At 44.6% G+C, this 16,092-nt stretch overlaps 1 protein-coding gene across 6 annotated transcripts in view, besides 3 other annotated features; it reads left to right on the top strand.

Annotated features, from left to right (window-relative positions):
- The window catches only part of ABCC4 (ATP binding cassette subfamily C member 4 (PEL blood group)), a 281,617-nt gene that overhangs the window by 31,467 nt on the left and 234,058 nt on the right, over nucleotides 1–16,092 (top strand). Inside the window, exon 1 of one of the 6 annotated variants that reach the window (XM_047430034.1) lies at nucleotides 3,767–3,873. The exons of the other annotated variants lie outside the window; for them this stretch is intronic. The gene's annotated coding sequence lies outside the window, so the exon portion shown is untranslated. Of the gene's footprint in view, nucleotides 1–3,766; nucleotides 3,874–16,092 lie in introns of those variants that run through there. 6 annotated transcript variants of the gene reach the window in all.
- Nucleotides 6,930–7,049: an enhancer, noted in NCBI's record as "active region_7872". NCBI's record gives its function as "activates an Ori minimal core promoter by ATAC-STARR-seq in GM12878 lymphoblastoid cells {active_cell/tissue: GM12878}" and the evidence as "EXISTENCE:reporter gene assay evidence [ECO:0000049][PMID:35858748]".
- Nucleotides 7,640–7,689: an enhancer, noted in NCBI's record as "active region_7871". NCBI's record gives its function as "activates an Ori minimal core promoter by ATAC-STARR-seq in GM12878 lymphoblastoid cells {active_cell/tissue: GM12878}" and the evidence as "EXISTENCE:reporter gene assay evidence [ECO:0000049][PMID:35858748]".
- Nucleotides 7,810–7,869: an enhancer, noted in NCBI's record as "active region_7870". NCBI's record gives its function as "activates an Ori minimal core promoter by ATAC-STARR-seq in GM12878 lymphoblastoid cells {active_cell/tissue: GM12878}" and the evidence as "EXISTENCE:reporter gene assay evidence [ECO:0000049][PMID:35858748]".

Here is a 16,092-nt window from a genome sequence, read left to right as displayed (position 1 = left end):
AACAATGATCAATTCCCAGCCAATCTTAACCCTCCTTCTACTCATTTCCTGCCCTAGAAGTGTTACTTTTTTTGGCACATCTGATGAGTGAAGTGAAGAATGGTATTTCATTGCTCTGTTTTTCTTTTCTCTATTCTTTTCTTTTCTTGCAAAACCCCACACTGTCACCATGCATTTGTTATGTAATTTTCAGATGTATCTGTAGGAAATGGTCAGTATACGATTATATATACACTGTTAAATTATCCATTGAAATCACATTGTGTACCTTCTCACTACATTTTTTAACCTTTATGTTATAAAGCAGATACAGAATATTATACAAACAAATGTGTAACGTGGATAATAAATTATAAGGTTAACATCCTGGTAAGTAGCAACCAGATCAAGAAATAAGATTTTGCTGGTCCCTGTTCTGTGTCCTGTCTCAATTCCAGGCTCCTCCCTTCCCTCAGAAAGAACTGAAAGTCAACTTCAAACTCTTTGTGGTCTGTATTACTTTTAAATCTTGATCAATGTTGTGTGTATATATATATATATATATATATATTTTTTTTTTGAGATGGAGTCTCGCTGTGTCACCCAGGCTGGAGTGCAGTGGCGCAGTCTCAGCTCACTGCAGCCTCCACCTCCTGTGTTCAAGCAGTCCTCCTGCCTCAGCCACCAGACTAGCAGGTGAGCTGCTTGTGCTGCTGACAGGTTGTAGGCTCTGTATTTGGAAGATTTAGGTATGGCAAATCAGGGTGGCCCAGCCCACCCTGACTTCTAGTCAACCAGCTACAAATTCTATGCTTCCCATGACCCCCTTGGGTTCAATAATCTGCTAGAATGACTCACAGAACTCAGGAAAGTGCTACACTTACAATTACAGTTTTACTACAGCAAATGGCTGCCAATTGGAACCAAAGGGAGAGTCCCAAATACAAAGCTTTCTTGTCCCATCTCCAGGGAGTTGAGACCTGTCACTTCCTAGCCTATTAGTGAAGGGGTGGCCTTCCCCTCCACACCTGTGGGTGTTTCTCATCGGGTGGGACGAGAGACTGAGAAAAGAAAGAGACACAGAGACAAAGTATAGAGAAAGAAAAGTGGGCCCAGGGGACCGCCGCTCAGAATACGGAGAACCCGCGCCAGGACCCGCGCCCCAGGCACCGGTCTCTGAGTTCCCTCAGTATTTATTGATCATTATTTCTCGGAGAGGGGGATGTGGCAGGACAATAGGGTAATAGTGGGGAGAGGGTCAGCAGGAAAACATGTGAACAAATGTCTCTGTGTCATAAACAAGGTTAAGAAAAAGGTGCTGTGTGCTTTGATGTGCACATACATAAACATCTCAATGCATTAAACAGCAGTACTGCCGCCAGCATGTCTCACCTCTAGCCCTAAGGTGGTTTTCTCCTATCTCAGTAGATGGAATATACAATTGGGTTTTACACTGAGACGTTCCATTGCCAAGGGCCAAGGGACGAGCAGGAGACAGATGCCTTCCTCTTATCTCAACTGCAAAGAGGCCTTCCTCTTTTACTAATCCTCCTCAGCACAGACCCTTTAGGGTGTTGGGCAGGGGTACGGTCAGGTCTTTCCCTTCCCACGAGGCCATATTGTAGACTATCACATGGGAGAAACCTTGGACAATACCTGGCTTTCCTAGGCAGAGGTCCCTGCAGCCTTCGCACTGTTTTGTGTCCCTGGGTACTTGAGATTAGGGAGTGGTGATGACTTTTAAGAAGCACGCTGTCTTCAAGCATTTGTTTAGCAAAGCACATCCTGCATAGCCTTAAATTCATTAAATCATGAGTCAACACAGCACATGTCTCTGCGAGCACAGGGTTGGGGGTAGGGTTACAGATTAACAGCATCTCAAGGCAGAAGAATTTTTCTTAGTGCAGAACAAATTGGAGTCTCTTAGGTCTTCTTCTTTCTACACAGACACAGTAACAGTCTGATCTCTCTTTCTTCTCCCCACATAGTAGTGTCTGACAATGCCCAGAGTATTGCCAGCCAGGAAATCTCATCCAGGTTTTGGTGTCTGGAGTTTTTATTGGAGCTTCATTACATCGGCACGATTGACGGGCTCATTGGCTGTGGGATTGATCTCAGTCTCCAGTACCCCCTGCCCTGGAGGTTGGGCAATAGCAGTTGGCTCCAAGCCCAGCCCTCTCATCACAGGATTGGTCTTTGTGATATGCACAGCCCCCATCCTGAGTCATCTGTTAGCATCAGCTGCTAGGGACCCACTATGTTATATTATGTCCCTGATAATTTATGTTAGTGTAAACCATCAGGGACCACACTTCTATTACTTGGAGCATTCCAAGGATTTAGAAGAACCAGGGATAAAACCCAGCCAAATTCTTTATTATATGACTTCCTTCCCCTCCACTCCTTACTCTTCATTTCTCTGGCCCTGTTTACTTTGACCACCCAGCCCCTTGTCACCATGCCTGTAGAGCTTTGCAGAAGACAAGTCAGGGGAGCTGGTGTATTAGTCCATTTTCACACTGCTGATAAAGACATACCTGAGACTGGGCAGTGTACAAAAGAAAGAGGTTTAATGGACAGTTCCATGTGGCTGGGGAGGCCTCACAATCCTGGCAGAAGGGAAAGACACATCTCACATGGTGGCAGACAAGAGAACTTGTGTAGGGAAACTCCACTTTATAAAACCAGCAGATCTCGTGAGACCTATTCACTATCATGGGAATAGCATGGGAAAGAACTGCCTCCATGATTCAGTTGCCTCCCACCGAGGCCCTCTCACAACACGGGGGAACTGTGGGAGCTACAATTCAAGATGAGATTTGATGGCCAGGCGCAATGGCTCACACCTGTAGTCCCAGCACTTTGGGAGGCCGAGGTGGGTGGATCACTTGAGGTCAGGAGTTTGAGACCAGCCTTTCCAACATAACATGGTGAAACCCCATCTCTACTAAAAATACAAAACAAATTAGCTGGGCATGGTGGCAGGTACCTGCCTGTAATCCCAGCTACTTGGGAGGCTGAGGCAGGAGAATCACTTGAACCTGGGAGGTGGAGGTTGCAGTGAGCTGAGATGGCACCATTGCATTCCAGCCTGGGCGAAACTCCGTCTCAAAAAAAAAAAAAAAAGATGAGATTTGAGTGGAGACAGAGCGAAACTCCATCTCAAAAAAAAAAAAAAGAGATTTGAGTAGGGACACAACCAAACCATATCAGCTGGTAATGCAGTGCACAGAAACAGGAGAGAGCCCAGGGGCCAATGCTACCCAGGCACCTCACCAAAGGGATAATGCCCCATTTACTAATGGGGGAAGATGGCCTGGCTGGCTCCCGAGAGCCTGTCGCTTGTTGGTGCGAGGGCTCTGAACTCTGCTGTCTGGACTAGTCTCAGCCCTGTCACATGCAAACTGCGTGCCCCAGGACAGCTACATGTCTGCCATATGCCTGAGTTTTCCCATCCTTAGGGAATGGTGATAACAGCACTGTATGAGTTTGCTGAGGCTGCCATAACAAATTCCTACATACTTGGTGGTTTAAGACAATAGACATTTATTCTCTTAAGTTCAGGAGGCCAGAAGGTAAAAAATCCAGGCTGTGTTCCCTTGGTATGGTGGGGACAATATTCCTTGCCTCTTCCAGCTTCTGGTGGCTGCCGGCCGTCCTTAGTGTCCTTGGCTTGTGGCTGCATCACTTGAGTCTCTACCTGTGTTTACATCTCCTTCTCTTCTCTTCTGTCTGTCCCAGGTCTCCCCCGCCTCTTTCTTGGAAGGACACTTGCCATTGGATTTAGGACCCACTTGGATAATCCAGGATGATGTCTTCACTCCAACATCCTCAGTTTAATTCCATGTGCAAATACCCTTTTCCCAAATAACATTCAATTCTTTACCAGGAAAGGTAATACTCACAGGTACTGGGGGTCAGGACTTGGGCATATCTTTTTGGGGCCACCATTAAACCCCCTTCAGGAGCCTACTTCACAGGATTGTGAGGATTGCGTTAAAATGCTTGAACCAGTGCCTGGCACACACTAAGTGCTGTTAGTGCTGGCGACTGGGGGGGACAGATACAGCCCGACCTTTTGTGTAATCTTGGCCCCTTATTTCCCCCCATTTTAGTCTTTCCCCCTTCACAGTTATCTAAGTCTGCCTTGGGTAAGCATATTTAATTTTCATGCTAAGACATATTTTCAATCTGTACGGAAGCCATGCACTTGCCTCTCCTTCAGAGCTGGGATTTTTTTTCATTTTGCTGGCTGTGAGCACACACACGCCCACAGGTGCCTAAGCCTCTTGTATGTGTGTTTTGAACTGTGTCCTCTGAGTTCTGTGTCTGGGTGCATGCTCTCCTCTTAGCGTGGGTCTCCTTCCCCTGTGTAGCACTTCACAATGTTAGGCATTTGTCTGTGATAGCAGCTGTTCAGTAATTTCCTACTTGCCCAAATTCCTGGACTCAAGCAGTCCTCGAGCCTCAGCCTCCCAAAGTGTTGGGATTACAGGCATGAGCCACTGTACCTGGCTAATTTCATGTTTTACCTTGTTAACCTTTTATTTTTATACTTTTAATCTTTTTTTTTTTCTTATTGTGTCATGCTTTTAAACCAGTACTCTAGAGTTTTAATCATTGTCTTTGAAATACTTTAACATCTGGTAGTGTCTTTTAACTTTTTATTTTGAAATAATTCAACCTGACAGAAAAGTTGCAAGAGTGGTGCATACATACCACTCCTGTATATCCTTCATCCAGATTCCCTCCTGTTAGCTTCTACCATAGTTGTCAATGTCTCTTTCTCTGTTTATATTATTCCTTTGTTATCTGAACTACTTGAAAGTGGATTGTAGTCTGGATGTGGTTGTTCCCACCTGTAATCTTAGCACTTTGGGAGGCTGAGGTGAGTGGATCACCTGAGGTCAGGAGTTCGAGACCAGCCTGGCCAACATGGCAAAACCCCATCTCTGCTAAAAATACAAAAATTAGTCAGGTGTGGTGGTGCACACCTGTAGTCCCAGCTACTCAGGAGGCTGAGGCAGGAGAATCGCTTGAACCCAGGAAGCGGAAGTTGCAGTGAGCTGAGATCACACCACTTCACTCCAGTTTGAGAGAAAGAGCAAAACTCTGTCTCAAAAAAAAAAAAAAAAAAAAAAGTGGATTGTAGATCTGAGGCCCCTTATACCTAAATTTTAGTGCATGTTTCTTAAATAAAAAGGCACTTTCCATCATAGTTATAGAACACCCAACAAAATTCAGAAATTTATCTTCAAACTCCATAACCAGTTTCCCTATATTAATTTTTTGGGCCCAGGATCCTATAATGTATTTAGCGCTCATATTTCTTTAGTATCCTTCAGCCTCGAACACTTCTGCAGTCTTTTATTGTCTCTCATGTCCTTGATAGTTTGAAAAATATTCAGGTCATCACATTCTAGAATATTCTTCAAAGACACAAAAAAATGTGATGTGACTTCATAGCAGAAATACCATAAAAATAAATACAGTATCCTCAGTGCATTGTATCCGGAGGCACACAGTGGTGATGGTAACTGTTATCACTCTGTTAAGGTCTTGTCTGCCACGTTTCCCTGTTCTAAAGTTGATTATGCAATACTTTATGCTTTTAGGTAAGTGTTTTATGGGGAGATAATTGGAGGCTATGAAAATATCTTGCTTCTCATGAAACTTTTACCCACTGATTTTAGCAACCGTGGATGGCTTTTCAATAACTGAATCACTTATTACTGTGGAAGTTGCCAAATGATGATTTTTTTTTTTCTGATTCTATTGTTAATTCTGTTCTTAATTGGTTGGCATTCTACAGTAAGAAATATTCTGTTTTCCCCATTTATTCACTCATTTATTTATAGCACTATGGACTTATGAATAATTTTATTTATTAGATTTGAATCCATTACACTTATGATTTATTTTGGTGCTCAGATTGTCCCAGGTTTGGCCAGTGGGAGCTCCTGGGTCCTTTGGACATGTTGTCGGGATTCTTTGAACATTTCATTACTTTTGTGGCACAAAAAGATAGTTCAGACATGTCTTGTACTTCTTCTGCCCCGATCTTGGATTCAGCCATTTCTCAAAAGAGCCTCTGCATTAAAAAGAAAAGTTACATATTCTTTTTCATAAGTGGATACTATATTTAGAAAGAGTGCTGGGTACTATGCATTTTTTTTTTTTCTTTTTTGAGACAGAGTCTCTGTTACCCAGGCTGAAGTACAGTGGCACGATCTCGGCTCACTGTAACCTCTGCTTCCTGGGTTCAAGTGATTCTCCTGCCTCAGTCTCACAAGTAGCTAGGATTACAGGTGCATGCCACCATGCTGGGCTAATTTTTGTATTTTTAGTAGAGACGGGGTTTCACCATGTTGGCCAGGCTGGTCTTGAACTCCTGACCTCAGGTGATTCACCCACCTTGGCCTCCCAAAGTGTTGGGATTACAGGCGTGAGCCACTGTGCCCGGCCTAGGCATATTTATTGTTATGGGATCTCATTGCTTCTAGGAACTCTAAGCGGACAAAGCTAGAATGTATTTGCATACACAGATCAACACATATTATTTATATATTTGTGTGTATGTGTATATATATACACACACATATACATATACAGTTGGTTCTTGTTACTAGTGGAGCTCTATAAAGTCTCCACAAACACAGGACTAGTGAATACTGAACCATTGCTTCCAGGCGAAATACAGGGTTAGGTTCCTATGCGCCTTTGGTCACATTTTTGTCAGCCATTTAATATATAACCTTGTTTTATGCATGTGTCTGCTTAGAGACACCTTTTTTAATATATAATTAATCATTAACCTTGAATTAACAGCCAGCAGCACTATAGTTCATGCCTGAAGGAAGCTTCTGTAACACACGTTTTTTTCTGTAGGGCACATTACACCCGCCTTGCGCTTTGATGCACTAGACTGCACTTGAGCATGATGCTTGGGGCCACTTTAGACAGCGAAGTCACCCACAAAAGTCCCCAAAATGTGAAGAACATGGTACTGAACAGCCCACAAGAAGGACAGTTGTTTCTACTCTAAGAGCGGGAATAAGAAGGCAGAGTGTCAGCTGGGCGTGGTAGCTCACACCTGTAAATCCAGCACTTTGGGAGGCCAAGGTGGCTGGATTGCTTGAGGTCAGCAGTTCGAGACCAGCCTGGCCAACATGGTGAAACCTCGTCTCTACTAAAAATACAAAAAAATTAGCCGGGCATGGTGGCGTGTGCCTGTAATCCCAGCTACTCAGGAGGCTGAAGCAGGAGAATCGCTTGAACCCAGGAAGCGGAGGTTGTGGTGAGCCGAGATCGCACCACAGCACTCCAGCCTGGGCAACAGAGTGAGACTCCGTCTTGGGAAAAAAAAAAAAAAAAGTCTAAGTGTCATTTCGTTTGACTTCAGCTGGGAGCATGCATGTTGGGTGACTCAAATATTTTGCTACTCTGTGCATGTCCGTGAAGGACTGCAAGACACCTGGAGGACTGATTTTTGGGGTTACAATTTAGCAAGTAGGCAAACTCACAAATACAGGATTTGTCACTAAAGAGGATCAGTGTATATTGATTTCTCTATCTTTATTTAGGTATCTATTTATATAGATCTGTATTAGGAAACAAATTAGATAGACTTCACACCAGTGCTTCAAATCACAGTTCAAAAATCTCATGCTTTGTTCTGGTTCTCCCTCTTTCCATATTTGTATCTTCATCCTTCAGTAGTGAGAAACTTGACTCCTGCTGTCCTCAACACGTTGACTTCTTTGCTCAGTCCTCTTGTTTGTCACCAGGGCCCCAGCCACGTGGGCCATCTCCTTGCAGAGAGTGTTCCTGGGACCTGGTGTGCGGGGCCCCAGGGCTGTGCTCCCAGGCTGCTGCTTGTGAACTTGCTGAGAGCTGCCCCCCAGGCATGTTGCCCTAGGCTGGCCTCCCAACCTAGTGGATACTTTTGATCATTGTTCACTGTAACCTCAAGCCCCTGGGCTCAAGCATTCCTCCTACCTCAGCCTCCAGAGTGGCTAGGACTACAGGTGTGTGCCACTGTGCCCAGCCAATTAAATTTTTTTTTTTTTGTGTGGAGAGAAGGTCTCACTATGTTGCCCAGGCTGGTCTCGAACATTTGGGCTCAAGAGATCCCCCTGCCTCAGCCTCCCAAAGCGCTGGTATTATAGGCATGAGCCACCATGCCTGGCTTGAAGTTAATTTCTTATTAACGTTTTCAGTATCATTAGAATATAGTAATGCAGTAGATTTTTGACTGTTTATTGGTATTGTACATCTTGCACCTCTAATGTGCTAGCTTACTGTCTTCAGTCAATGTAGGATTGGAGTTCTAATTGTGTAAAACTCTGTATATAAGGTTTATTACTTTTTTTTGTGTTTTTTTCTTCTTCAATAGCCATGTCACCATTAATACTAGTAAATGGATAAGCCATTCCTTTCTAATATCTTGTTTTAATGACAATGAATTTAAGATATGTTTTGTGGATAAGAAGAGCTGCTCATAGATACAGCTTTTTATGTTACTGCTATGCTAGTTCTAGGTAATTTCTTTTTTTTGATAGGGAGTCTTGCTCTGTCGCCCAGGGTGGAGTTGCAGTGGTGTGATTTTGGCTCACTGCAACATCTGCCTCTTGGGTTCAAGTGATTCTTCCGCCTTAGCTTCCTGAGTAGCTGGGATTACAGGCACGCACCACCACGCCCAGCTAATTTTTGTATTTTTAGTAGAGACGGGGTTTCGCTATTTTGGTCAAGGCTGGTCTTGAACTCTTGACCTCAGGTGATTTGCCCACCTCGGCCTCCCAAAGTGCTGGGATTACAGGCGTGAGCCACTGGGCCTGGGAATTCTAGGTAATTTCAGAGTAAAAAATTTGATTTAGAGTTGCTTCTTCCTTTTCTATGAAATAGGACATTTACAAAATTGTTTTTGAAAAGATGACTTGGGTTGCGATGTTTTTCTTGTTTTGAGATCCTAGAGTAAATGAGAAATAGGATGTGGAATTTTAAACTGACTTCTTGTGCATCTGCTTATTTTTGTGGTAGAGTCACAGAGTTACGACCAAGCAGGGGAGGTGAGAATTGTGCAGACTGGGGATATTGGGAGGGTGAAGGGATCTAGTTTGCTTGAATAAAAGGATGCAAGTCACTGTATTGGTGAAGTTTCTTTCAAATCCAATTCCTGACTGATTTCCTTGCCTTCCACAGTTCATCATATACAAAGTAGCTTAAAAACATTCACAATTTCCCTGTTATCTTTAGGATAAAGTCCAACTTTCTGAGTTTAGAACACAAGACCTTTGATTACCCCATTATCACCCCAGACCCCATGCAGCATTTTCTCTGCTGTCTCCAAGCAATAAGTCTTGGCTGTGTGGCTCCATTTTTCTGGAAAATTTGTCCCTTCTTCCTCCTTTGTCTTCTTGGTAAACTCCAAATTCTTTTCCTAAAGTTTGCTCAAACTGTGTCCCTTTCTCCAAACCCTCTCCAACTTCCCAGGTACCTGACTATACCCTCTTTCTTCTCTCTACCGTACAGATGGTTCCCAGACCTGGCTGATAACCAGGATGTGCTGGGTGAGGGGAGCTTTTTAAGGACCGCCACTTGGGTTTCATCTTGGCTTGTTCTGATTCAGTCATTTAGGTTGCGGTTCTAGGTGTCTGTGGGTTTTTGTTTTAAAATTCCCCAGGCATAATTGGGTAACATATTGAAGTTTACCGAAAAACAAAACAAGAAACTCCCCAGTAAAACTCCCCAGGCTGAGGTAGGGATTTTGCTAATGAGCCAGGGTTGGGTTGGGAGTATTGGCGTATATGTCAGACAAGTGCTTCCCATTTGGTGTGTCAAAGCAAGCTGTATGGCACGTTCTCAAACCTGAACCTGCATCCGCATCACCTGGAGAACATCAGAAGATACAGATTGCAGGGCCCCACTCTCAGAGTTCCTGATTCATAGACCTGGAGTGGGTCCTGAGAATTTGCATTTCTAACTCTTCAGGGGATTCTGGTGCTGCTGGTCCAGAGATCACACTTTGAGAAACTCTGCTGTACAGAAGATGAGTCTCGTGAGCTGGGATGTTGATCCCTTAGAAAGCCCAGAAGTAGAGTCTGTGCATAGCCTGTGTCCACATGTGTCCCATCTTTTTTTTTTTTTTTTCCCCACACTACACAGATGTAACATGTCCCATCTTACTGTAATTCTTTGTTAACATAGATGCCTTGAACTCTTGGAGTGGAATTGAACCGGTGGATTTACTAATGGGTTTATATCATTTGCTAACGTGGCTAAAAGACTGCTGTCATTGTCTTGCAACTTCTGTCTGAGGTCAACATTTGATTTAAGATTCTATAGCCTGTCCAGAAAGGCTGTAAAAAACTTTAGTGCGGTGGTTCTGATCCATGTGATTTTGCCACCCTGGCAATGCCTCAGATAATTTTAGTTGTCAGGACTTGGGATGGGGATGCTGTTGGCTTCTTGAGGGTGGGGTTCAGGGATGCTGTTAACCATCCTACAGTGCACGGGACGACACCCCCAACAAAGAGTTTTTCAGCTCCAAATGCCAGTAGTGCTGAGGCTGAGAAACCTTGCCTTAGGGGAAGGCGTTTCTTTTTTTCTTCCTTTTTTTTTTTTTTGAGACGGAGTTTCACTCTTGTTGCCCAGGCTGGAGTACAATGGCGTGATCTCAGCTCACCGCAACCTCCACTTCCCTGGTTCAAGCGATTCTCCTGCTTCAGCCTCCTGAGTAGCTGGGATTACAGGCATGTGCCACCACGCCTGGCTAAATTTTTAGTAGAGATAGGATTTCTCCATGTTCGTCAGGCTGGTCTCAAACTCCTGACCTCAGGTGATCCACCTGCCTCAGCCTCCTAAAGTGCCGGGATTACAGGCGTGAGCCACCATGCCCAGCCGGGGGAAGGCATTTCTAATGAGGTAGAGTGGGTTTTCCTGTGAGATCTGTCATTGTGTCTCCCTGCACCCAGCTCCTGCTCTCCAGAGTCCCTGACTCTGAGCAGCCTACCTCCTTCTCCACCCTGCCCCAATGTAGCCCCCAGGCCGGGCCCAGCAGCCTCCCGCAGGCAGGGCTGGCAGACTCTTCAAGGAAAACTAACCAATGATTAATAATTTGCCACACCTGAAAGTACTTTACAATGCACTATTCTTTCAATAATAAATGATTTATTGAGTGAGGCTAGAGCATCTGTTCAATCATTTACTGACCTCAAGTGACCTGCACATTCCCCTTCTCCTGCAGGCGCTTAAAGAGGGTTGCTGGGCCCCAGATGTGGGTGTTCTCTGCTGCTGCTCTTCAGCCTGGGTGGAGAGTCACTCACTCGTTCACCCCGCAGTTTTGAGTGGCTCGCCTGGTCCCTGGCCCAGTGAACACCATAAAAAAATCCTGCCCTCAGAGAGCTTTTGTTCTAGAGGGGAAAGTGACAAAGTAATTAAGTGCATTTTTTTGTATCTACACAAATAGATTGTAGTAAATGGGTAAAGAAAGTGAGAATGAGGATATAAATGATCGACAATGAGGGTATGTTTGGTTTTTTGTACACAAGGGTAGGACTTTCTGGGGATTGAGACCTGCAGGAGAGAAGATCTAATCATGGGAGAAGATGGGGAAAAGCATTTGCTCGCACGCAAGGGGACAAACGGGAATGTGGGAGACTGTCAGAAACACATCAGGCCAGGGTGGCTGGAACACTGAACGAAGGGGACCCAGTCAAGCACAGCACCCCACCATGAGTTTCATTGTTTTTCTACTGCAGGAGAGCAGCATGGCATGATATTTTTAAGAATCCACTCTGGCTTTTCTATTGAAAGATCACAGGGAAACCAAGGGTGAAGGTGGGTAGGCCAGCTAGCAGGCTGTTGGGGTCCTGAAAATTCATGGTGCCTTGGGCCACAGTGATGGAGGCAAAGGTGTAGAGAGAAAGGGTTCTTGTTGGGACAAATGGGATCTGGTTCTTGTTGGGACAAATGCACCTGGAAAGGCATGTTGGCGCTCCTGCAGGCATGTGTGGGCTCACATAAGTGAGGCTTATGTGTGGGGCATGGCTGTGCGCTGAGTTACGTGACACATGTCTTAAATTAAAGACACTCATATTTATTTCCCAGGGACAGATAAACTTTGAGCAATCTGGGAAAGCATCAAGATAACTGACTAAATTCTATCAGTTGTTTAGCCTTGAGAAGTGTGAATTACATGTTCACATGCATGTAATTCAGCTTCCAGAGCAATTCTTTGACCCCAGTGAAGCACAGTTGACCCTTGAACAACAAGGGTTTGAACTGCAAGAGTCCACTTATGTGCAGATTTTCTTTTTTTTTCTTTTTCTTTCTTTTTTTTTTTGAGATGAAGTCTCACTCTGTTGCCCAGGCAGGAGTGCAATGGCATGATCTTGGCTCACTGCAACCTCTGCCTCCTGGGTTCAAGCGATTGTCCTGTCTCAGCCTCCTGAGTAGCTGGGATGTGCACCGCCATGTCCGGCTAATTTTTCTGTATTTTTATAGAGACAGGGTTTCACCATTGTTGGCCAGGCTGGTCTTGAACTCCTGACCCCAAGTGATCCACCCGCCTCGGCCTCCCAAAGTGCTGGGATTACAGGCGTGTGCTGCGCCCGGCCTACGTGCAGATTTTCTTCAGCCTCTTCCACCTCTGAGACAGCAAGGCCAATCCCTCATCTTCCTCTTCCTCTTCAGCCTATTCAATGTGAAGATGATGAGGATGAAAACCTTTGATGATCCACTTCCATGTGTATCTTCTCCTCAATGATTTTCCACAATGATTGTCTTAATGGCGGTTTCCTTTCTCTAGCTTACTTTATTGTGAGAATGTAGTATATAATACATAGAGCATACAAAATATGTGTTCATCAACTTTATGTTACTGGTAAGGCTTCCAGCCAACAGTAGGCTATTACTAGTTAAGGTTTTGGGGAGTCAAAAATTAATATGTGGTTTTTTGGTTGCACAGGGGGTTGGCACCCCAATCCCTGCATTGTTCAAGGATCAATTGTATATTATTCTCTGTGCTTCTTGGTGCGCAAACTTAAATGAGTAGCTTCAGATGCTCGCTTTGTTAAGGAGTCTTATTCCTTAGTCTGGCAAGTGCTTATTTGAGCTTGGAAGCAAGAGAGAACTATGTCATCTCTTATGAGAGATGAAGTTTAATCGTTTGGAAGAAAGCGCTTGATTTGAACAGGCACTAATTAATGTCCAGATTTTTTTTTTGATTTTTCTTTTTTCTTTTTTTTTGAGACAGGGTCTCACTCTGTCACCCAGGCTGGAGGGCAATGAGACGATCACGTCTCACTGCAGCCTTGACTTCCCAGGCTCAGGTGATTCTCCCACCTCAGTCTCCTGAGTAGCTGGGACTACAGGTGCCTGCCACCACACCTGGCCAGTTTTTTGTATGTTTTTGTCGAGACAGGGTTTTGCCATGTTGTCCAGGCTGGTGTCAAACTACTGGGCTCAAGCAATCTTCCTGCCTCAGACTCCCAAGGTGTTGGGATTACAGGCGTGAGCCACAGTCCCCGGCCAATGGCCTGATTTTCAGAGGATAGTCAACATCATACACTGATGGGCTCAGAAGGATCTTGGCAACAATGAGCCCTGCATCTAGCAGGTGGCCACACGGGCCTTGCTGACTATATAGTATGGCATCTCTGGCTAGTCGTCAGATCCTTCACTTGCTAGTTGCAATGAACAATGCTTTCATCTCCTTATGAGTCAGCCGCATAACTTGGGCTGCAGAAATAATTAATATCCTACTCACTTAGCCGGGCATGATGGCATGCACCTCCAGTCTCAGCTATGCGAGAGGGTTGCTTGAGCCCAGGAGTTTCAATGAGCTATGATTATGCCGCTGCACCCCAGCCTGAGTGACAAAGTGAGAACCTGTCTCTTAAAAAAAAATCTTACTCACATTTCTTCATTTTATTCTGTTACTAAATTGTGTACAAATATGCCAAGTGCATCTTTTTTTAAGGAAGAAGACTAAGATGGCTAATCATGCACAATGGCTGTAGATGCTTGGTACTGGTTGTCGTGTGGGAAAGTGCTGGGAAGATGGGATTATAAAGTGAGGGCCCTGTGAAGAAGTGAAAGGCATGGATTAGCTGGTGGGAGAACAGGGAGACAAGAAGGCTGTGGATGAACCAGAGAAGGCTTTGAAGCTCCGTAGTAGGAAATCTCTGAGGTGCCTATGGCATGGAAGGACCCATGTTGAACCCAGAGTGCAGGTGTGGAGGGGGGTTGGGGGACCCGGAAGAGAGGTGGACAGGGTCCACATTGCCTGTTGCTTAGGTTGACATAGAAACAACAGGTAGTAGAGTGAAGCGGGAAGGGATGAGAAAATGGGCTTTGAGCGTGTTTTAGGAAGGGAGGAACGTTAGAGGAAAAATAACAGAAGATCACAGCTTTACAGGTGCCACCTGAGTTTAATTTACTTGGTCATGGGCCGAGATAAGCTGGGTTGGGACCATGTTGAGAACACCTGTGGTGTGGGTGCTCTACCCTCACGCGAGATCCATTCCAGCGATGCCTGTGTCTGGTGATCGTTGAACTTTAGTGTCTGGTGATCGTTGAACTTTAGGGCATGGAGAATGGCTATTTTGGACTACAGAGAATGGGAGGAGATTGAAGAAATCAGGTGTGTCGGGCTCCCCTTGGAGCCAGGCCATGGGAAACTTTGTAAGGACAGAGGCCCTGGTGAACTTTGGAAGGATTTTGTTTTCTTTTAGGCATTCAGGTTTTGGGGTCTGAGCAGAATTGCTGGAGTGTTACACGAGAAGTGTGCTGGCGGTGGGCTACACCATTCCTTCCTCCCCAGCACTCAGTCACTTACCTACGAGAAAATGCACATTTGCACTGGTGTGTGTCCTTGCACCCTCTTTCTGAAACCCATTTGCAGAATCCAGGCCTTTAGGAAACTTTTGCTATTGCAGACTTACTTATATCTGTAAATTATTTAATATTTATATTTGTAACTGAGAAGTTGATATCATGGACTCGTAATGGATTTTGGAGTTTAAATATGTTAAAATAGGTAATTTTTACAGGATGTGTTCATTCACGTGACAAATCTGGGTGACTTCTATGTGCCCAGCATGTTGTAGGTGTGGGTGGCTTAGCAGCAAACAACACAGAAAAACCCCATCCTTGTGGAGCCTAGATGCCTCCAGGGGAAAACATGATTTCAAAAAAGTGAAATATAATAGCCCTTCTAATGTTGACAGGTGCTGAGTAGAAAATTTAAGCTTGGGCAGGGGCAGAGGGTGAGCCTTATAGGGTCAATGTGACTGTTTCTGGATATACTTTGCATGTTGAAGTAATAGGACTTGGATGGCTTAGATGTGTCCTATCAAAGAGTGACAAAGAAGGGATGGGCTGCAGAGTCACCTGAAGGTTTTCTTTTCTTTGGAAAATCTGGGCAAGGGGAAAGATGTGACGGCTGATAACTGAGAGGGAGAAGCCTGGGAGGAGCAGGATTTTTTTGTGGGATGAAAAGGTGTTCTGTTTGGACATTATTTAGTTTGATATGCTTATCAGACACCCAAGAGGAGGAGGTGTTGAATCAGCAGTTGGTTATGAGTCAGGGGTATTGTATGTGCCCTTAGGCACTAGCAATGTTTTTTGTGTTTTTTTTTAAGCAAAATTATGACCATCATTTCAGAAAACTATTTTATATATATAAAGAGGTTGAAAGCTTATTAAGACTAGATTTAGAAAAAACATATAATACTCTGAGAAATTCTGTGTGTAGTGTCAGGTAGAAAGTAAAGTGTTACCAGTTCTGTTTATAAAACCCCCTTTAGGCCAGGCGCAGTGGCTCATGCCTATAATCCCAACACTTTGGGAGGCCAAGGTGGGGGGATTACTTGAGGCCAGGAGTTTGAGACCAGCCTGGGCAATATAATGAGACTCTATCTTTACAAAAATATACTTAAAAAAATAGCCGGGCATGGTAGCACGTGCCTTGTTATCCCAGCTACTTGGGAGGTTGAGGTGAGAGGACCGCTTGGGCCTGGGAGGTTGAGGCTGTAGTGAGGTATGATTGCGCCACTGCACTCCAGCCTGGGTAAGAGAGTGAGACCCTGTCTCAAAAAAAAGAGAAAAATC

The sequence above is a fragment of the Homo sapiens genome, chromosome 13 (genome assembly GCF_000001405.40).
Source record: "Homo sapiens chromosome 13, GRCh38.p14 Primary Assembly".
NCBI classification, from domain to species: domain Eukaryota; kingdom Metazoa; phylum Chordata; class Mammalia; order Primates; family Hominidae; genus Homo; species Homo sapiens.
This window is presented reverse-complemented; position numbering and strand designations above follow the sequence as displayed.